Below are 21,950 nucleotides of genomic sequence, written 5' to 3'. Positions count from 1 at the left end.
TTTGCTCAAGATAATGGCCTTCAGTTTCATCCATGTTACTACAAAAAACATGATTTTATTTTTTTCTATGGCGAAGTAGTATCCCATAGTGTGTGTGTATGCCACGTTTTCTTTATCCAGTCAGTCATTCGCTGAACACGTAGGTTGACTGCATATTTTTCCTGTTGTGAATATTGCTGTTATAAACATACACGTGCCATATGTTTTTGATATAATGATATTTTTTTCCCATTAGGTGAATATACTCAGTAGTGGGATTGCTGTATCAAATGGTAGTTTTATTTTTAGCTATCTGAGAAATCTCCATACTGTTTTCCATAGAGGCTATACTAATTTACATTCCCACCAACAGCGTATAAGTGTTCCCTTGTCTCTACATCCTTGCCATCTGTTATTTTTGGCTTTTTAATAGTAGCCATTCTAACTGATGTAAGATGGCATTTCATTGTGATTTTTATTTATATTTCTCTTGTGATTATTTATTTTGCTATGCAGAAGTGTTTTAGTCTAATTAAGTCCCATTTATCTACTTTTGTTTATGATGCATTTGCTTTTGAAGTTTTAGTTATAAATTTTTTGCCTAGGCCAGTGTCCTGGAAAGTTTTTCCTAGGTTTTCTTCTAGCATTTTTTATAGTTTCAGTTCTTACATTTAAATTTTAAATTCAACTTGAGTTTGTTTTTGTATATGGTGAGAGTTAGGGCTCTAATTTCATTCTTCTGCATGTGGCAATCCAATTTTCCCAGGACCATTTATTGAATAGGATGTCCTTTCCACATTGTATATTTCTGTTAATTTTGTCAAAGATCAGTTGGCCATAAGCATGTAGCTTTATTCCTGGGTTCTCTAGTCTGTTCCATTGATCCATGTATCTATTTTTATACCAGAACCATGCTCTTTTGGTTATTATAGACTTGTGGTATAATTTGAAGTCAGGTAATGTAATGCCTCCTGTTTCTTTTTGCTTATAATTACTTTGGCTATTCAGGCCTTTTTTTTTTTTTTGGTTCCGTATGAATTTTAGGATTGCTTTTTCTAATTCTGGGAAAAATGGCATTGGTATTTTGATAGAAATTGCATTGAATCTGTAGATTGTGTTAGACAGTATGATCATTTTCAGGTAAATAATTAATGATGTTAAAATTGAAAACACAAAATAGAGAATATAATTTAACAAGTATGTGATATAGGAAATTATAACTCCAACAAAGCAAGTAGAAAAAACACAGAAAGCATAATAAGAAAGTGGCAAAAGATAAGTCTCATACATATATGCAGGAGTTTGGGGAGCAGAAAGCAGAGGAGGAGCCCAGTCAGACATGGATGAAACCAGCATTTACAAATCACTACCAGAAGAAAATGTTGATGATGCAAACTTTGCAGCAAGCAATTTTGAAACACTCAGCAAGAGTTTAAAAAGTTGTCAATGCCCTTTGACTAAATATGAACACTTTTTGAAATATGTCCCAAGGATTATGTAGTAATAAAAAAACAAAATTTAGAAGTGAGAACATTTGATTGTGTTATTTGTAGTATTACGAAATTGGAGATAAAATTGAAATTCAAAAAGAACAGGATATACAACTGCTGTATAATATGAGCCTAGTAGGGAAATTATGTATACATAAAATATCTGTATAAAGAAATAGATCTTTCTTTATACTTTTGTATTTTCCAGATATGCCACTATTAACATGTATTATTGTTTTCATTGAAAATTAAAATAGCAACAATAATTATATTAGAAACTATTATTAGAAATTAAAATATTGTCAGGATCATGATAATTATTTTTACTGGTTGCTTACTAAGTGCCAGACACTGTTCTCTCCCTTTGAATCTTCATAAGATACCTGTGAGAGAATAAAGGTAAGAGTCTGTCGAATTTTGCTGCTGGCTTCATGAGTCACAGTTAGTGATTCGATTGGACCATATGGTGAGAGCAATACCAGACTATTCAATCTTACGGCTCTCTGGGCTAATGTTAGAAGGCTTAAGTTAGCTTACTTATATTCACAGAAAAGACAAAAATGCTTCAATCTTATTTCCACAATGCTGGCTGAAAATAAACCTTCTAGAAGTATATAGAAGTATAAATAAATTGTGACCTATAATTTGAAGCATATCAGAATATATTAAGAAGTACCTGGGAGGGAGCTAGATAAAGCTCACAATTCTTCTTTTTCTTTGTCAGGCTTTGCTGAATAGTTCTGTATAATCTTTTTTATGCTTAAGAAAACCTGACAGCTATAGTCACCTTGCTAAAATTATTTATAAGTGGACACTCACTTTAAATCCAGGAAAACATTACATTAAGTAGAAAAGTAGAATGTCAAATCTCCTTATTGAAAAGACTAGCATTTTTTTAAAGCATTCAGAACTTTTATTACTTGAATCAAAGTCTGAAGTCAAGACAGATTCACAAAGGACAGTAGTCTTAGGGACAAGAGGTCAGGAGATAGGCTTTTCTATTGCAATCCTGTAACTAACTGGATGACACAGTGGTACTTTGTCTCAGTTTATGATGTCTGTGCTATATAAAGGGACAGGAATGTGGCTACTGTCCAAATAGTAGAAATGTTTTGAGTAAGTATTATGTCATATTTTGATAGTATTTTCATAGAAGGGCATTAAATATAAACATTTATAACTATGCTCTGCAGTTTAAGTGTCACTTAAATACTGCTATTCCTTACACTCAATGTTTTTATTAGACCAACTGAACTAAAAAATCATGTATATACATAAAACTAGTTAGATATACATAAAACTAGTTAGATATACATAAAACTAGTTAGGTATAAAACATCATACTCAAAGACAAAAATTTGAAAGCACCAGACTGACTCAACCAGGACCAAGCTAAATGGGGGTAAGCGTCATGGTTCACATAGACAAATGAGTATGAATTAAAAATTGACTTAAAAAGAGAGCAGACTAATAATGCTCAGTAGCATGTATCTACGGCACAGAAATAATAATCGGTCACTATGTCACAGAAAGCTCAGAAGGAATTACTTTTGCTAGCATTCCTTTTTGGCAATCAGCCATACTTGTTCAAGCGTTGTGTAGATAGAGGAAAATAAATCATAACATAACTGTCCAATATTAGAGAGGGTTTTTTACATACTTTGACATTAAATAGTCATTAAATTATATCAATAAATAATGTTTCCATAATCAGTTTAAGAACAGTTTATCAAATAAATCTAGCTTTTAAAGACAGACACTCACCAGGTTTGCAGTAAGTTATTGAAAAATATCAACATCAAATACCTCTACAATATTCAAATGAAAGTATATTGCTTTTGAGAAAATGGGTGTCAATAGTGATTGATATATTACTTGACAATAAGTATCCCAACAAATTTTACTCTAAAATTATTAGCAAATAGGTAGTAATTTCTATATTGAGCATAGTATACTATTTTGGAAATTATTATCTTTAATGTAGCAATTGCTATATTGTGAATGCTCTATAAATAAGAATTCTGCTAAAGTCCTTAGATATGTTACTTAATTTTTATTACTCTATGATGTTTACATTGTGGCATTTTTCAGATGTGATCTAGATTGGTTAAGTATTAAGACCAGAATCTGAGAACTTTGATTATTCCAAATTAAGTGCTCTAATACATTACTTATTATCACTGAAAATCAACACTATCTGCCCATATCAAAGAAATAGCTGACTATGACTATATTACTGAAGGTGACACACAGTTAAATAGGTCCATTTACTGGAGGTACAATGTAACCAAATCATATAAATTTAATGCTCCTTTAATGGGAACTAAGGATAAATCTTTACAATATCCATGCAGTTATTTATCCATATAATAGAAAATATTCTATTGTTATATACTTAAAAATATATTATTTCAACTGATATATATGAATTCTTAGGAGCATCTTATGTCCAAAAGTATAAAATCAAGAAAAAAATGAGCAATAGGATTTTATATGAAGCTTCTTAGCAAGGGCATATACTCAGTCAAGTTTAATAGCCTAAGCATAGATAATTTGTTTAACAATAGTAATATTAATAGTAGTAATAATGCCAATATTTCTACTAATAGTAAAACTTCCAGTTACTGTGGACTGGCTATGTGGCAGGCATTGTGCCATGTGTTTTACCTGTACACAATAGGTTTTGCTATTGCTGTTTACAGAATGTGATGTAGGGAGGAAATCTATGTTTTCTAAAGTTACACAATTTAAATATCAAACGTGACTTTATTCCAAGTTCTCTCTAATACCAAAAACAAATTATTTAACACTGCACCAAATTGATATTGTTCCTTTAAATATTAGTGGTGAAATATTTTATATTCAGCCATTTTTACTGAGACAGATTTTGCTATGTAAGGGACATGTGATATAAGTGAAATTTAAAAAACTCTATGAGATTCCAAGACATTTCCATTTTTCTTATAAGCAATACAATATTTAAATAAAATATAGACCTTAATAATATTTACTATTGCTCCTGAATGACTACTGGGTACATAACGAAATGAAAGCAGAAATAAAAATGTTCTTTGGAACCAATGAGAACAAAGACACAACATACCAGAATCTCTGGGACGCATTTAAAGCAGTGTGTAGAGGGAAATTTATAGCACTAAATGCCCACAAGAGAAAGCAGGAAAGATCTAAAATTGACACCCTAACATCACAATTAAAAGAACTAGAGAAGCAAGAGCAAACACATTCAAAAGCTAGCAGAAGGCAAGAAATAACTGAGATCAGAGCAGAGCTGAAGGAGATAGAGGCACAAAAAACCCTTAAAAAAAAAATCAATGAATCCAGGAGCTGTTTTTTTGAACAGATCAACAAAATTGATAGACTGCTAGCAAGACTAATAAAGATAGAAAGAGAGAAGAATCAAATAGACACAATAAAAAACAATAAAGGGGATATCACCACCGATCCCACAGAAATACAAACTACCATCAGAGAATACTATAAACACCTCTATGCAAATAAACTAGAAAATCTAGAAGAAATGGATAAATTCCTGGACACTTACACCCTCCCAAGACTAAACCAGGAAGAAGTTGAATCCCTGAATAGACCAATAACAGGCTCTGAAATTGAGGCAATAATTAAAAGCCTACCAACCAAAAAAAGTACAGGACCAGACAGATTCACAGCCAAATTCTACCGGAAGTACAAGGAGGAGCTGGTACTATTCCTTCTGAAACTATTCCAATCAATAGAAAAAGAGGGAATCCTCCCTAACTCATTTTATGAGGCCAGCATCATCCTGATACCAAAGCCTGGCAGAGACACAACAAAAAAAGAGAATGTTAGACCAATATACCTGATGAATATCGATGCAAAAATCCTGAATAAAATACTGGCAAACCAAATCCAGCAGCACATCAAAAAGCTTATCCACCATGATCAAGTGGGCTTCATCCCTGGGATGCAAGGCTGGTTTAACATACGCAAATCAATAAATGTAATCCAGCATATAAACAGAACCAAAGACAAAAACCACATGGTTATCTCAATAGATGCAGAAAAGGCCTTTGACAAAATTCAACAGCCCTTCATGCTAAAAACTCTCAATAAATTAGGTATTGATGGGACATATCTCAAAATAATAAGAGCTATTTATGACAAACCCACAGCCAATATCATACTGAATGGACAAAAACTAGAAGCATTCCCTTTGAAAACCGGCACAAGACAGGGATGCCCTCTCTCACCACTCCTATTCAACATAGTGTTGCAAGTTCTGGCCAGGGCAATCAGGCAGGAGAAAGAAATAAAGGGTATTCAATTAGGAAAAGAGGAAGTCAAATTGTCCCTGTTTGCAGATAACATGATTGCATATTTAGAAAACCCCATTTTCTCAGCCCAAAATCCCCTTAAGCTAATAAGCAACTTCAGCAAAGTCTCAGGATACAAAATCAATGTGCAAAAATCACAAGCATTCCTATACAGCAATAACAGACAGAGAGCCAAATCATGAGTGAACTCCCATTCACAATTGCTTCAAAGAGAATAAAATACCTAGGAATCCAACTTACAAGGGATGTGAAGAACCTCTTCAAGGAGAAATACAAACCACTGCTCAACAAAATAAAAGAGGACACAAACAAATGGAAGAAATTTCCATGCTCATGGATAGGAAGAATCAGTATCGTGAAAATGGCCATACTGCCCAAGGTAATTTATAGATTTAATGCCATCCCCATTAAGCTAACAATGACTTTCTTCACAGAATTGGAGAAAACTACTTTAAAGTTCATATGGAACCAAAAAAGAGCCCACATTGCCAAGGCAATCCTAAGCCAAAAGAACAAAGCTGGAGGCATCACACTACCTGACTTCAAACTATACTACAAGGCTACAGTAACCAAAACAGCATGATACAGGCACCAAAACAGAGATATAGACCAATGGAACAGAACAGAGCCCTCAGAAATAATACCACACATCTACAATCATCTGATCTCTGACAAACCTGACAAAAACAAGAAATGGGGAAAGGATTCCCTATTTAATAAATGGTGCTGGGAAAACTGACTAGCCATATGTTGAAAGTGGAAACTGGATCACTTCTTTACACCTTATACAAAAATTAATTCAAGATGGATTAAAGACTTAAACGTTAGACCTAAAACCATAAAAACCCTAGAAGAAAACCTAGGCAATACCATTCAGGACATAGGCATGGGCAAGAACTTCATGTCTAAAACACCAAAAGCAATGGCAACAAAAGCCAGAATTGACAAACGGGATCTAACTAAACTCAAGAGCTTCTGCACAGCAAAAGAAACTACCATCAGAGTGAACGGGCAACCTACAGAATGGGAGAACATTTTTGCAATCTACTCATCCGACAAAGTGCTACAATCCACAATCTACAAAGAACTCAAACAAATTTACAAGAAAAAAACAATCCCATCAAAAACTGGGTGAAGGATATGAACAGACACTTCTCAAAAGAAGACATTTATGCAGCCAACAGACACATGAAAAAATGCTCATCATCACTGGCCATCAGAGAAATACAAATCAAAACCACAGTGAGATACCATCTCACACTAGTTAGAATGGTGATCATTAAAAAGTCAGGAAACAACAGGTGCTGGAGAGGATGTGGAGAATAGGAACACTTTTACACTGAACCAGTTTACAGTCCCATCAACAACCATTGTGGCAGACAGTGTGGCGACTCCTCAAGGATCTATAACTAAAAATACCATTTGACCCAGCCATCCCATTACTGGGTATATACCCAAAGGATTATAAATCATGCTGCTGTAAAGACACATGGACACGTACGTTTATTACGGAACTATTCACAATAGCAAAGACTTGGAACCAACGCAAATGTCCATCAACGATAGACTGGATTAAGAAAATGTGGCACATATACACTATGGAATACTATGCAGCCATAAGAAAGGATGAGTTCATTTCTTTTGTAGGGACATGGATGAAGCTGGAAACCATCATTCTCAGCAAACTATCACAAGAACAAAAAACCAAACACCACACGTTCTCACTCATAGGTGGGAATTGAACAATGAGGACACTTGGGCACAGGAAGGGGAACATCATACACTGGGGCCTGTCATTGGGTGGGAGGAGGGGGGGAGGGATAGGATTAGGAGATATACCTAATGTAAATGACGAGTTAATGGGTGCAGCACACCAACATGGCACATGTATACCTATGTAACAAACCCGCATGTTGTGCACACCTACCCTAGAATTTAAGGTATAATAAAAAGATTTTTTATTAAAAAATAATATTTTTTATAGAAGATTAGTGATTTTAATTACATCTTCACCATATTTGACATTAGCTATTATTTGCTATCAAGTTAAATTGTAAGAGTTTATTATTATGGGCTAGGTGTGGTGTCTCACGCCTGTAATCCCAGCACTTTGGGAGGCTGAGGTAGGAGGATCACAATGTCAGGAATTCGAGACCAGCCTGGCCAACATAATGAAACCCCATCTCTACTAAAAATACAAAAAAATAGCCAGGCATCGTGGCAGGTGCCTGTAGTTCCAGCTACTCAGGAGGCTGAGGCAGCAGAATTGCGTGAACCCGGGAGGCGGAGGTTGCAGTGAGCCAAGACTGTGCCACTGCACTCCAGCCTGGGCAACAGAGTGAGACCCCATCTCAAATAAATAAATAAATAACAAACAAATAAAAAAGAGTTTATTTTTATGACTTTGTGGTATGACCCATTGCTGGAACATTTTAGAAGATATATGTAAAGAATTTCTATCTATGAAGAAAAATTGTATAAATAAACTAATCTCCATTTATTTTATGCATATATATTTGTATCATACAAAGAAAAAGAACCGATATATATGTGTGTGTGTATGTCCATATATATATATATATATATATATATATATATATATATATGAAGGAGATTTATAATTGGAATTGGTACATGTGCTTATGGAGCCTGAGGAGTTCAATGGTATACTGTCTGCACACTCAAGGACCAGCAAAGGCAGTCATGTGATTCAGTCCAAATCTAAAAATCGGAGAACTAAGGGAGCCAATTGTGTAACTCTCAGTCTAAGGGCAATGACCTGAGCAACTGGGTGGGAGGAGGAAGCAATTCAGGTGTAAGTCTTTGAGTCTGAATGCTCAAGAACCAGGAGCTCTGATGTCCTCAGCCAGGAGAAGATGGATGTCCCAGATCAAGAAAGAGAATTCACCTTTCCTTCACCTTTATTCTATTTGGGCCTTCAATTAATTGGATGATACCCACCCACACTGGTGAGGAAATATCTTTCTTACTTGGTCTGCTGATTCCAATGCCAATCTCCTCCACAACCACCTCTACAGACACACTCAGAAGTAATATTTTACCAGCTACTTTGGCATCCCTTTGCCCAGGCTAGTTGACACATGAAATGAACCATCATAGTAATTATCTAGCAAAGCACTTTGCTAACTAACAGAGTGCAACTTGAATATGAAGTAGACCTAACACTAAAAGCAGCTATAGTCTAGTGAAAGTATGTATGCCATGGAGGACAAAGTTTACTCTTTTAGGGAGTGGGAAGAGTCGATGAACTTACCAACTGTCCAGAGACATCAACATGGAAACATACAAGGAGTAAAATTGAAGGTCTGAAGTTTAGGAAGAAGAAGGAGCCCAGAATCAGAAAATTGGGACAGAGGCATTTAGACAGAAAGATAAATATTTAAGCCATAAAATTGGGTAATATCACCAGAAAGAAGTTTGGAAGAACACTTTTTGAGAGAAAGAGAAAACATAAAGACAATTGTACAAAAAGGCAGGCAGAAAACAAAAGAGAAATCAATAAAGCTAGTGTTTCGGAAGCCACTGGAGAAAGATCTTCCAGCTAGAGATATTAGCCAACATTGTGTAATCAAAGAGAAAATTTGAAGAAGATAATGGTTGAGAAGTAATTAATGGATTCAGTGAGGAAGTGATTAGAGGTGAGTTTTGAAATAGGGTATGTGTATATGTATATATGTATATATATGTATATGTGTATATATACACACACATACACATACATGCACACTATTGCATATATATTCATATATTAGTATACATATTCTAATGCACTTTGATTTTTTCTGTACTTTATATATGTAAAGTACAGAATATTTATAAACTACAGAAAATATACATATATGTGTATATATATATAAGCAACACTACACATTATTCTTAAACCTTTCTTACCACCAAATAATTAAAATCAGTTTATATGAGGAATACATTCACATTGAGCATTCTGGCCTGTTTTCTGAGAGCATAAAGAAAGTAATATATTAAGATACATAATTTTTTATATTAAAAAAAGCTGTACCTTCAGTGAAGGATTGGAATGTGATTTTTATGATTGAATATTTTACTCTGTCACACATTCATCAAATTGAGAGCAGAGAGTATAACTGCCTTTTGAAGAAGCTCAAGGATGTACCAAAATTAAAATTTGTACAAATAGACAGACTCGGAAGATATTAGATTTTCTCTTTGATTTGTTTGCTGTTGTAGCATGTTTGTTCTTTCCTTTGGAAAGATAGAATTGAGCATGTTTAGAAGCTAAAGGGGGAAGAAAGAGAGTATGATTGTCTTTTGAAGAAGCTCAAGGATGTACCAAAATTAAAATCTGTACAAATAGATGGACTTGGCAGATATTAGATTTGCTTTTTGGTTTGTTTGCTGTTGTAGTATGTGTGTTCTTTCCTTTAGAAAGGTAGAATCGAGCATATTTAGAAGCTAAAGGGGGAAGAAAGACTCATTCTTCAAAGTCTAAAAATGTTAGACCCTGAGAGTAAAGTTGATGGAGAATTTCAGCTCTAGCCCATCACTACCATAAAAGTAAATTCAAATTTAATTTTATCTTAAATAAATAATAGAGATAAAACATAAAATTTAATAAAAGTTTCAGAATGATTTGCTTAAACTGTTAAGTACCTTGGTAGACATAACCACAGAATAAGTCCTACCTAAAAAAGGTGAATCTCACTCAATAGAAATAATAACAATAACGATAATAATAATCAGAGCTAAAATATAACTCTGTGCTTTCTATGTGACTGGTACAGCTAGAAATGCTTCACATGTGTTATCTAATTTATTCTACATGATTCTCCCAAACAACTCCATGAGGTAGGCAGTATTATTATGTTGATTTTATAGACAGGGATACAAACACATATTTCCCCATGGTCCTACAACCAGTACTTGACACTCATAGGCTATGAATCTAGGCAGTCTGAAAACCTTATTCTTAGTGTCTGAGCTAAGGAAACTGTCAAAACTAGACTGATTTAGAGCCCAGAAACATAAGGTATGGAGCCTCCCCTTCTTTCCTAATGTCAACTGATGTTCTTTCATATTGTGCTACCCTTGTAGGCTGTCAACTCCCCAGCTCCCTGGATGCATCGCTGCTATAAATCTATACCTTAATCATTGTAACAGGACTGTTTCTTTTTCAAGTATTAAAATCAAATTCTGCTACCTAAAAATCTCTGTAAATGAATCCAATCCAACGTCTTAGGGTGCACCTAGAGAGATTCTTGAAAACAGCAAATAGGGCCCATTATACAGTTCTGCAACAGAAAGTTCATTTCCCATCAGAAAACAAAAGATCAGCTGTATCACCAAATAATTTCTGTTAGGTAATATTCCCCTGAATATGAAGATTTCTACTTGTCAGAAAGAAATCTGCTCTTCAAAGAAAGAGAAATAAGAACTTTTAAAATAATTCAGCTGCACTCTGAATGATCTAAGACATATGCTAGCTGTGGACAACCTAGTCACTCTGCTGTAGTTTCAAAACAGCTGTAAATGAGACAAAACCATGAAAGCTCAGTGTCATTTCTTTGAGTGATGGGGATAGAAGAATTTTCAAGTACCTCAGCAGGTACCGTTTGTTTCTTTCACACTTGTATCATTTTACTTCTTTTTCCAACCCTAATGTAAACAAAAAAAAAGAAAAACACATATAGGAAACAATGAATCCACAGTGATCACATTATATGTTTGTGTGGCACCTTTTCAGATTGTTCTAATGTACTTTGTTTTTGTACTTTACGCACTGTTTATTTCATTGTTTTGCTCATGGTAATTTTTATTGCTATTTACTTGTTCTATATCTCTGTAAGGTATCCATTGACTGTAATTGAAGAATTACTTCTGTTGTTTTGGGCTCTTGTTTTTTTCATTAATCACGTTCCAACAATTATTAACCTCTTCATTTACTACCATTATTTGTTTTGTTGTCCTGTAGCTTTGTTTTTCACCTACTAAGGTGCCAGTGAAGATACTGTGTTTCTATATCAACAACAACTAGAAAATTGCATTGCCATTTTAAGGAAAATATCTACTAAAAGTTAGTGAACATTTTTTGGCAACAAAAAAATATGAGATTACTCAGCGTTTAACGTATATAAAATTTACCTTGTTTCTCAGGCCATTAATAGGCATTTATCTGCCACCAAACTAATAACATTCATAAATGCTAAGTTTTAGAGAAATATTACTCACCATAAAAATGTATATTACTTTGTTCATTTAGAGCATCAGTCTCTAGCATTTTTGAGCATGTAGAGTCCTTTCAAAGTAAAGTTAATAAGTTATGGACCCTCAATTCACTCATTTTCTTAAAAATGTATATGAATTTTATTTGTAAGCATTGTATTCACTGAGGAATGTTTCTCAAAAGATTTAGACTTCTTCAATGTAGAATCTATAGTGATAGAGAAAATTATATCATTTTCACACTTAAGTCTTAGTAAGATTTACACTCATGCATTTCTCTAATCAGTTTAATTACACTTCTGTGTCTACAAAGATGACAGAGAAATGGCATGAATATTCTCTAGGTCTACAAAGACAAGAGAAAGATGGCTTGAATATTCTCTACTGCTAGTCAACTGAGTGATATTGTCTGAGTCTTAACTGAAATCTATAACTAAGTCTCTCTCATACTCTTTCATGTTGTTTCTTTACATTTTTGCAAACTTTGAAATTTATTATTTTACCATTTAAATGATATCCATTCATTTTGTTTTCTTTCTCCTTCTCTTCTCCTACAGAGCTAGTTCCATATTTCATTTTGTACTCAGGCCTTGACAGTCTGAGCAGTTAGAGAAACTTATTCCTAATATACAAGAGTTAACTGTGTTATGTTCAAAACACCATACAGGATTGTTGACCTTTCATCCTGATGTTAGTCCCCACAGAGTAAATAAAGAAAAATAGTCAAAGATGATCTGTCATATTTGGTCTTATGTGCTGTTCATGTTAAACTTCTAAGTCATCCTGTTATTTACTAGACTTCAAGTACAGTCCACTCTTGTGAATAACAATATCAAAATTAGACAAAATTAGATTTAGCACTTATGTACTAACCACAGTATGTGTATTTAAGTCAAATAGAGTAATGTTACTAAATTTAATTATTATAAATTACATGTCTACTTTAAACTTATTACAAGATTTATTTATAACATGTGTAATCTAATGTTTTATGTAGATTCAGCAGTGGTTGGTAGATGATGTTTGAACAATGTGAAATTGTATTTTAGGTTCTAATGAAAATATAATCTGTATTATCACATGAGTAGAATAAAAATAATTGAAAGGGCCAAATTGATATGAGAACAGAAGTAAAAATAAGAAGTACTTTAAGCAAACAATATATGCATGCAAGTATAATTAATTATTCATAAAATGATCTTTGATTATTTTACTGAATTGAAACTTGGATATCTTCTAACCTAGATTTCCTTGAACATATGAAAAACTGAGACCCAAAGAAGTCTTGTTACTGCCTAAAGTCACAGAGTAAATCATGGACAGACCTTGACCAGAAACCTGGCTTCTCAACTTTTATCCCATGAAAATTCCTTGAAAATAAACTATTTTGGTTGAATAATTTGCTTTTTATTACTTATTGTTTCCAATAGGGAGACCCACCTGCAGCTGTGCACTGGGTTTCACTGGGCCAAACTGTGGTAAGACAGTCTGTGAGGATTTTTGTCAAAATGGAGGAACCTGCATTGTGACTGCTGGAAACCAGCCTTACTGCCACTGCCAGCCGGAATACACCGGAGACAGATGTCAGTACTGTAAGTAAAAGCAGCACCCAGAAGCCAGCTTTGATGTTTATGTTAATCTTCTGATTTCCTGTATCCACTCCTTCCATTATCTTAATTTTAGCCATCCTCTATTTTTCAGGTTCAGTCTCTGTCACTCCAACAATTATTTACCCATTCTTCACCTTTCTCTTATTGTAAAGATTTTATCTTTCTTCCTCCCTCAGCTTTGATTGCATGGTCCATTATTATAACCATTCCCTGTGTACACCCTCAGCTCCCTTCCTCTCTCTTCCCCTCTTTTGCACTTCTTAGCAAATCATAACCATAGTTAAATCCAATTCTCCATCTCTCCTGAATTGACATCCCATAGGCGAATGCAACTGAAGAAAAACTCATAATTATATTGGCTGGCCTCATTTCAGTTCTATCACTAATTTCAAATGGGCACTTACTAAGGCTTTCTATGTAGTTCCCTAATCCATTGACTCTCCCACTCCCCTAGATGTCTATGTCACACCTTCTCCTTCTCATGAAACCTCCAATGCTTTCTCCCTAACTTTACCCTCAGCTGAGAAACTTGCTTTATATTTCATTTATATGAATAGAAACCATCTAAAGAGAGCTGCCGCAAACTCACACTAACTAGCACATCCCCCCAGCTTCTTTCTCCTATGCCCATGTACTTGTCTTTCTTCTTGTTACTAGGAACCCCAGGCTACATCTAATCCTATGCTCTCCATCTCAAGTCCTGACCCCTCCCTCTTGGCTACTTATGAACACATCTCCCACAACTGTCCCCTTTTTCTCCTGCTTTATGACTATTTTCCTGTCTGCCAAGTTCTTTCTGGAAAAAACCTTCACTTGTGCCCACATCTCTTTTTTGTAATAACCTTATTTTACTACTCTCTCCTCTTTTTTAACAGAAGCATTACTTGAAAATATAGTTGTTGTCCACAATTCTTCTATTTATATTTTTTCTTTGATCCCACCTCTGTCAGGTTTTTGTCTTTGCTGTTCTGCTAAAATATCTTTTATGAAAGTCAAGTTAATTGATTTTATTTAATGTCCTCCATGTTGCCATATATAATGATCAAATCTCAATTCTTATTTTACATCTACTTTCAGCAGTTAATCATTTCATCCTTCTTAAAACATCGTCTACAAAGATTTTCATTCCTCTAGCCTGTGTTGGGGTATCTATATTTAAATTTTTCAGATGTTTCACACATGCAACCAAAATTGAGACCTACTGCCTCGGCAAATTCACCCAATTGCGTGTTTTTTTAAACATCATCCAAATACTAATGACTGTAAATTTACATATCCTGCTTAACCTATTTTCTGAATTCCAGGTTTTTATACCTAATTGTCTATTTGACAGCTTGTTATCACTCTAATTTAAACTGATTTGTTTTTACCCCAAGATTTTTCAACAAGTTGGATATCCCTTATCTGAAATACTTGAGACCAGAAGTATTTTGGATTTCAGATTTTTTCGAATTTTAGAATATGTCCATCTGTATAATGAGGTATCTTGGGGATTGAACAGAAGTCTAAATACAAAATTCTTGTTTCATATACACTTTATACACAAAGCCTGAAGGTAATTTTATGTGTATTTTTTACTAATCTTCTGCCCTCATTACGGGAGGTCAGGTGTGAAATTTTCCACTCGTGGCATCATGTTGGCACTCAAAACTGTTGGATATTGGAATATTTCACATTTCAGACTTCCCAATTAGAGATGCTCAATCTGTACTATAGTCTTTTCTATCTCTTTAAAAGAAAATATACTCACTGTCCAGACCAAAATAATTGAATTTTTTTGACCACCCCTTTTTTTCACTTCCTGTTTTCACTCTCAATTTTACCTTTAAATATACTCAACATCTGAATACTTCTCACCACTCCATTCTACCAGTATCTCTTGCCTGGATTATTACTAATGGATCTCCATGCTCCCTCTCTTTGCCCCAAAGTATCTATTCTCAAAAGGTCAGTCATAGTTCATTTTATTCACAATAAAATTGCTATCACAGTCACATTTATTGAGATTTTTCTACACCCAAGGACACTTGTAATTCCTTTTTTGCATTAGTTTTATTAATTCGTTTAATCCTATCAATAAACTAGATATTGTTTTTAGTCTCATTACAGAAGAGGACACCAGGAAAAAATAAATAGGCTTCTGAATATTACCTATTTAGCATTTGCGAGAGCCAAGATTCAAACCAGCCAATTTAGCTTCAGGGCTCAGGTCGCATCCCCAAGTTACATTAAATATCATTGAATTTTCACACAAAGTAGCCTAGGTCTTTGGTCATTTTAGGAACTACATGAAACAGCACAGAGTCAAGCTATAATCATCGGCTTATCTGAGAATCAAGCATAACACTTAGTATCTTGCCTCTGATGGTACAGAGGGACTTCTTCTGCAGAAGCAAGAAAACATTTAAAGTAGTTTATTTTCCAATTGTTTATTCTTATCATATTAGGCTAGCCTTTCCTTGACATATGTAGATGCCCCTACCCTAGGCCAATGTTCCTTTTCACATTGCCTAACTTATTTCTTAAATGATGTGCATCACAGGCCAGAAGTTTATATGAAAATACAACCTGGTTACATCCATACATCCCTATATTATTGTATAACACTAATTAGCCAGGCGCAGTGGCTCACACCTGTAATCCCAGCACTTTGAGAGGCTGAGGCCCGCGGATCACGAGGTCAGGAGGTCGAGACCATCCTGGTCTAGAGACGGTGAAACGCCGTCTCTACTAAAAATACAAAAAACTAGCCGGGCGCAGTGGCGGGCACCTGTAGTCCCAGCTACTAGGGAGGCTGAGGCAGGATGATGGCGTGAACCCAGGAGGTGGAGCTTGCAGTGAGCCGAGATCACGCCACTGCACTCCAGCCTGGCGACAGACCAAGACTCATCTCAATAAATAAATGCATAAATAAATAACACTAATTATCCTTTCTCATGTATTGCTCACATCTTCACCACTCTCATTCCCCTCCTCACAACACAGCAGACTATCTCAACACAACTTCCACCCACTAACTCACGTGTGTTTATTTTCTGTTCCACCATTGTCATGACCCCAAATGATTCCATGCAAATGAAGGACAACACTACTATCCCACTTAATGGAGACCCCTATTACTATCCATCCTAGGTCTGCAGCCTCTCCTTTATTCTAGTAAAACCACACCAATTGCCCTTCCCTATATAGAGCCAGCTTCCCTGACATTGTGACTCTGCTCAGCTTAAACACCATTTGCTTTTTGAAATTGTTCAAATTCTCAGTTTGAATCAACCTCTCCCTCCTCTTCTGACTCTGATCATTTTTACCTGTTGATTATGTACATTCCCCTTACTTGTCTGGGATCTTTTTGAGACTACAACCAACAATGGCACTTGCCAAATGAACAAAGGAACAAAGAATCACACAAATAAATACATAAATAAAAATAAATGATTTGAATAAATGTTAACAAAAGATCAATTTAAGATCAATTTACTTTAAATGTAAAATTACATTTAATCAGTGTTCAATGATCTTGTAACTGTATGTGGTTCAACTAGAGCTAGTATTTTCTCCTCTGTCTTTTGGTTCCCAATTGGTAGACCAACATAGAACATGTCATTTTCCCCTCTTGTTTTTATCTTTTCATTAGTTGAAACAACAGTATTCTTAATTAATTTTTTAAACTAAGTTTAAAAATATTATGTGGCCATAGTTTGTATAGCAGTTTGGATCCTTCCAAAGAATAAATTCAGTTAGCTTATGTTTTAATTGACAACTTAATAGAATCACAGTCTGAGGTAGCCTGATGCTTTATAAAGAGCTGCATTATAATTTTATTATCACTATTAGTAGTCAGAGCGCTTCCCACCTTTTACTGCAAAGCACTTATTAAAATTAACCAATTAATCCTTAGACAGAGGTTAAATAACTTGCTCAAGGTCCCGAAGTAGTAATATTATAGTCAGAATTGGACCCCAGGAGTTGTTGATCAAGATGTCAACAAACATTCTTGCTGTATGGTGATGCTGTTTTTTTGGCAGCATAATAAGTCTGTGGACAGTGGCATTAAAATGACAAATTCAACAGCTGACAAAAACATAATAAATTTAGAATCTATTAGATGTAAGCCGACAAGGTTCAGTGGACCTGGTGTTCTGTCAAAATTGTATCTTGCATATACAAAATCTTCTCTCTATAAAAGAAGGAATGACAGAATGGTTCATTACAGTGCCTAATTAAAGGTCCATTAGTGGGAGGGAAAACATCAGCTCTTAGTTGTGCTGAGTAAAAACATTTCATAACTCTAATAGCAATATAAAGTCCTGAGGTCTGAAATGCAAATTAATTTTAACAGCAGCAGCCCAGGGAGGAGAGGCAAAGATAAATAATGGTAAAAGTAAAATCAAGTATTCTTTAAGTAAGTTGTTAAAGAACAAATATAGCGGCACTTCTCACTATTCTAGAACAAGAATTACTAGTATAAATAAAAATAAACAAGTGAGCATGACATTTTGGATTTAAATCTAGGTGTTAAGCATGAGGTTAACCAATATCTGAAGTTATTTGTGATTAAATGATAATAACATTAGGCCAACCAGGCCAATTAAGACCAGTTGGATCTGTGTCTAAGGAATAGGTAGTCAAATTAAGTGAAAACCTGCTTGTTCTCTCACTGATACTTTCAAAGTCCTCTGGTAATCTGCTTGCAGAACCATTATAATTTCAATTAGAACTAGACTTATCAGAAGTATACCTGTACAGCTTATTCTCCCTGGTTCCAGTAAGTACAGACATTAAGTAATGTCCCTACTTACAGAGTTAGAAGTACCTGACAGTAATCCAAAGATATCATGTTTTGCAATCGGTATTAGAACCACAGACTATCAAGTAACGTATAAAACAATTATGCACTATAGATATAAGCCTATCGTATTTGATGACACGATGGGATTATTTTTACCATTTGTCTTCTAGGGTAGCTTTATCCCATGAGTCAGTTCATCAGTGAATATGTTTTGATGTTTACAATGAGCCTGTCACTATGTTCGGCATTAAGAAAGGAAATAGTGAGGTCAGAAACATTTTCTATTCTCAATAAACTCACAGTGTAATGTCTGATTCTAAAAAGGAAACGAGTTATTATAGGTCAATTTAATGAAACACAGAGGCTACTAGAACCTTCAGAAAGACCACAGAGTTTAGCCTTTAGAAAATTTCTTGAAGGAAGTGGTGTCTAAGCTGAAATCACAAGAAATCAAGAAGCTAAGGAGATGAGAAAGGGAAGCAGCAAAGGGGAACAGCATACACAAAGGAACAGCATATGCAAAGCGGAAGTAGCAAGGGGGAGCAGCATATGCAAAGAGGGAACAGCATATGCAAAGGGAAAGCCTTCAGAAATTTATTTTTCCTGTTTCTATTAGATTTTTCTACAGGAGAGCTGGCAAGAGAAATCACACTCAGTAAACATGTGTAATGTTTTAATACCAGAGATGTTGCTATGACACGTTATTTTATCTAATATGTGAATATGTATCCTTTCAACAAATGCTCACACAACCCTTTGAGATTAATACTATTAGTCCAAATTTGCAAGTGCCAACAACATGAGATTAAACAGTTTTCCCTAATCTGCAATTTAGAGAGCACAGGAACCACAGTTTTTAGCTTTGTGGATCTGACTCTGAAAACTAGGCTTCTCCGACATTTATGCAGCTAACTGACACATGAAAAAATGCTCATCATCACTGGCCATCAGAGAAATGCAAATCAAAACCACAGTGAGATACCATCTCACACCACTTAGAAGGGTGATCATTAAAAAGTCAGGAAACAACAGGTGCTGGAGAGGATGTGGAGAAATAGGAACACTTTTACACTGTTGGTGGGACTGTAAACTAGTTCAACCATTGTGGAAGACAGTGTGGTGATTCCTCAGTGATCTAGAACTAGAAATACCATTTGACCCAGCCATCCCATTACTGGGTATATACCCAAAGGACTATAAATCATGCTGCTATTAAGAAACATGCACACATATGTTTATTGTGGCACTATTCACAATAGCAAACACTTGGAACCAACCCAAATGACCAACAATGATAGACTGGATTAAGAAAATGTGGCACATATACACCATGGAATACTATGCAGCCATAGAAAGGATGAGTTCATGTCCTTTGTACGGACATGGAAGAAGCTGGAAACCATCATTCTCAGCAAACTATCGCAAGGACAAGAAACCAAACGCTGCATGTTCTCAGTCATGGGTGGGAACTGAACAATGAGAACACATGGACACAGGAAGGGGAACATCACACACCGGGGCCTGTTGTGGGGTGGGGGGAGTGAGGAGGGATAGCATTAGGAGATATACCTAATGTAAATGACGAGTTAATGGGTGCAGCACACCAACACGACACATGTATACATATGTAACAAACCTGCACGTTGTGCACATATACCCTAGAACTTAAAGTATAATAAAAATATATATATATATATATATAAAATAAAATTTCTTGAAGTGGTATCTAAGCTGAGATAAGAAGAAATCAAGAAGCCAAGAGATGAGAAGAGTAAGCAGCAAGGGGGAACAGCATATGCAAAGAGGGAACAGCATATGCAAAGGGAAAGCCTTTGGAAATTTATTTTTCCTGTTTCTATTAGCAGGAGGGCTGGCAAGATAAATCACACTCAGTAAACATGTGTAATATTTTCATCCCGGAGACGTTGCTATGACACATTATTTTATCTAATATGTGAATATGTATCCTTTCAACAAATGTTCACACAACCCTTTGAGATTAATACTATTAGTCCAAATTTGCAAGTGCCAACAACATGAGATTAAGCAGTTTTCCCTAATCTGCAATTTAGAGAGCATAGGAACCACAGCTTTTAGCTTTGTGGATCTGACTCTGAAAACTGGGCTTCTCCTGGTCTAATATATTTTTCTGCCATTCAATATCCTGCCCACCATGCTGCGACTTTTAGAGACTCACTAGAACACTCAAAGCTCAAATGGCATACTGGCTCAACCTGGTCTTTCAAGCTTCTACACCATAGAAAAGAGGCACTAATAGGAACTTTAATCTTGAGCTGTTAAGCTTATGGCAGGCCCAGCTAAAAGCGACCAAAGTACTTTTAAAATGATCAGGAAAAGAGAACAATCTTTTCAGTTGTTCCTGTTAATAGGAAGGTCAATTATTCGAACAGAGCCTAAAGCTTTAAGAATTGTGATTTGGAAAGTGAAAGTACCCATAAGAACCAACCCCTTCCTCAGTATTTGAATATTTAAGATTCTTTACAACATTCACACTTAGACTAGCACAGCATTTTGGAGCCCTGTCTACTTTCTCCCAACTCTTTTCCTCTTAATGAGAAAGTAAGTGTTGTCTTCATTCAGGTTCTTATCATCCCTTGTCTGGATTAATGCAGCACATTACTTTATGTACCTTTTCTTCTAACCTTGAAAACCTGTTTATTGCCTCCAAAGTGCATCTGCTATAATTGTTAATACCTCTTTTACGTGACACATTACGCCCTCAATGTCTGCTAAACCTCTTTAATCCCCCTACTTTGTCTTCTTAACTCTCCTTTTTCCTAGAATCTCAGCACTTCTCTTTGCCATTTTTCACTTTATATTCATATCATTCATGAATATCTACCCCACTAGAATATTAAACAGGCCACAGTGTTTTGCATACCTCATCAATCTTGCAAGTGAATTCAGTGCCTGGAATTTAGGAGTTTGGATGCATGTGAGCAAAGTAGAAAGATCCTGTTTACAGACTGGTAGGCCCAGTTATTTTTCTGTGCTCTAGCAAGATCCCTCTCCAAAGGCAGGATCAGAGTTCTGGGCCATATTTTCTTAAAAACTCATGAAGATCCTTGATGGTCCATGAGAAACTGGGTGCTTACATTCCAGTTTCAAAGATTAAAGGAAAAAAGTGTAAAAATAAAATTAGATTTTAATCAATGTGAAGGGAATAGATACATATATTTTCTAGTGTGATAATGATAGAGAATGTTGAGGTAAGGGTAAAATAATTAATTATTTTAGTTATTCTTTTACCGTAGATTATTTCAAAAAAATTGTCAGGGTTGTAAAAATTTGTTGAAGACCATTTTGACCCAATAGTAAAACTAGACTTTTCAAACAGATTTTTGTTTTAATGTTATGCCTTCATTAAAAAAAAAAGTAAAAATAATAAGAGGAAAATAATTTTAGGCGTACGTGCTTATACATAAAAGGAAATTTATTAGAAACCAATGTATGTTTTTCCAAGCAGATATTAATTCATATGTGATTTGAAACTACAAATGCTGATTATTAG

General features: G+C 35.0%; 1 protein-coding gene across 3 annotated transcripts in view; it reads left to right on the top strand.

Annotated features, from left to right (window-relative positions):
* LRP1B (LDL receptor related protein 1B) overlaps positions 1-21,950 on the top strand; it is a 1,899,594-nt gene that overhangs the window by 1,819,598 nt on the left and 58,046 nt on the right. For all 3 annotated transcript variants that reach the window (NM_018557.3, XM_017004341.2, XM_017004342.1), the window contains one exon: positions 13,450-13,611. In NM_018557.3, the coding sequence (NP_061027.2) occupies positions 13,450-13,611 (162 nt within the window). The remainder of the gene's footprint in view (positions 1-13,449; positions 13,612-21,950) is intronic.

The sequence above is a fragment of the Homo sapiens genome, chromosome 2 (assembly GCF_000001405.40).
Source record: "Homo sapiens chromosome 2, GRCh38.p14 Primary Assembly".
Lineage (NCBI taxonomy): Eukaryota > Metazoa > Chordata > Mammalia > Primates > Hominidae > Homo > Homo sapiens.
The sequence above is the reverse complement of the archived record's forward strand: the minus strand, read 5'-3'. Positions and strand labels throughout refer to the sequence as shown.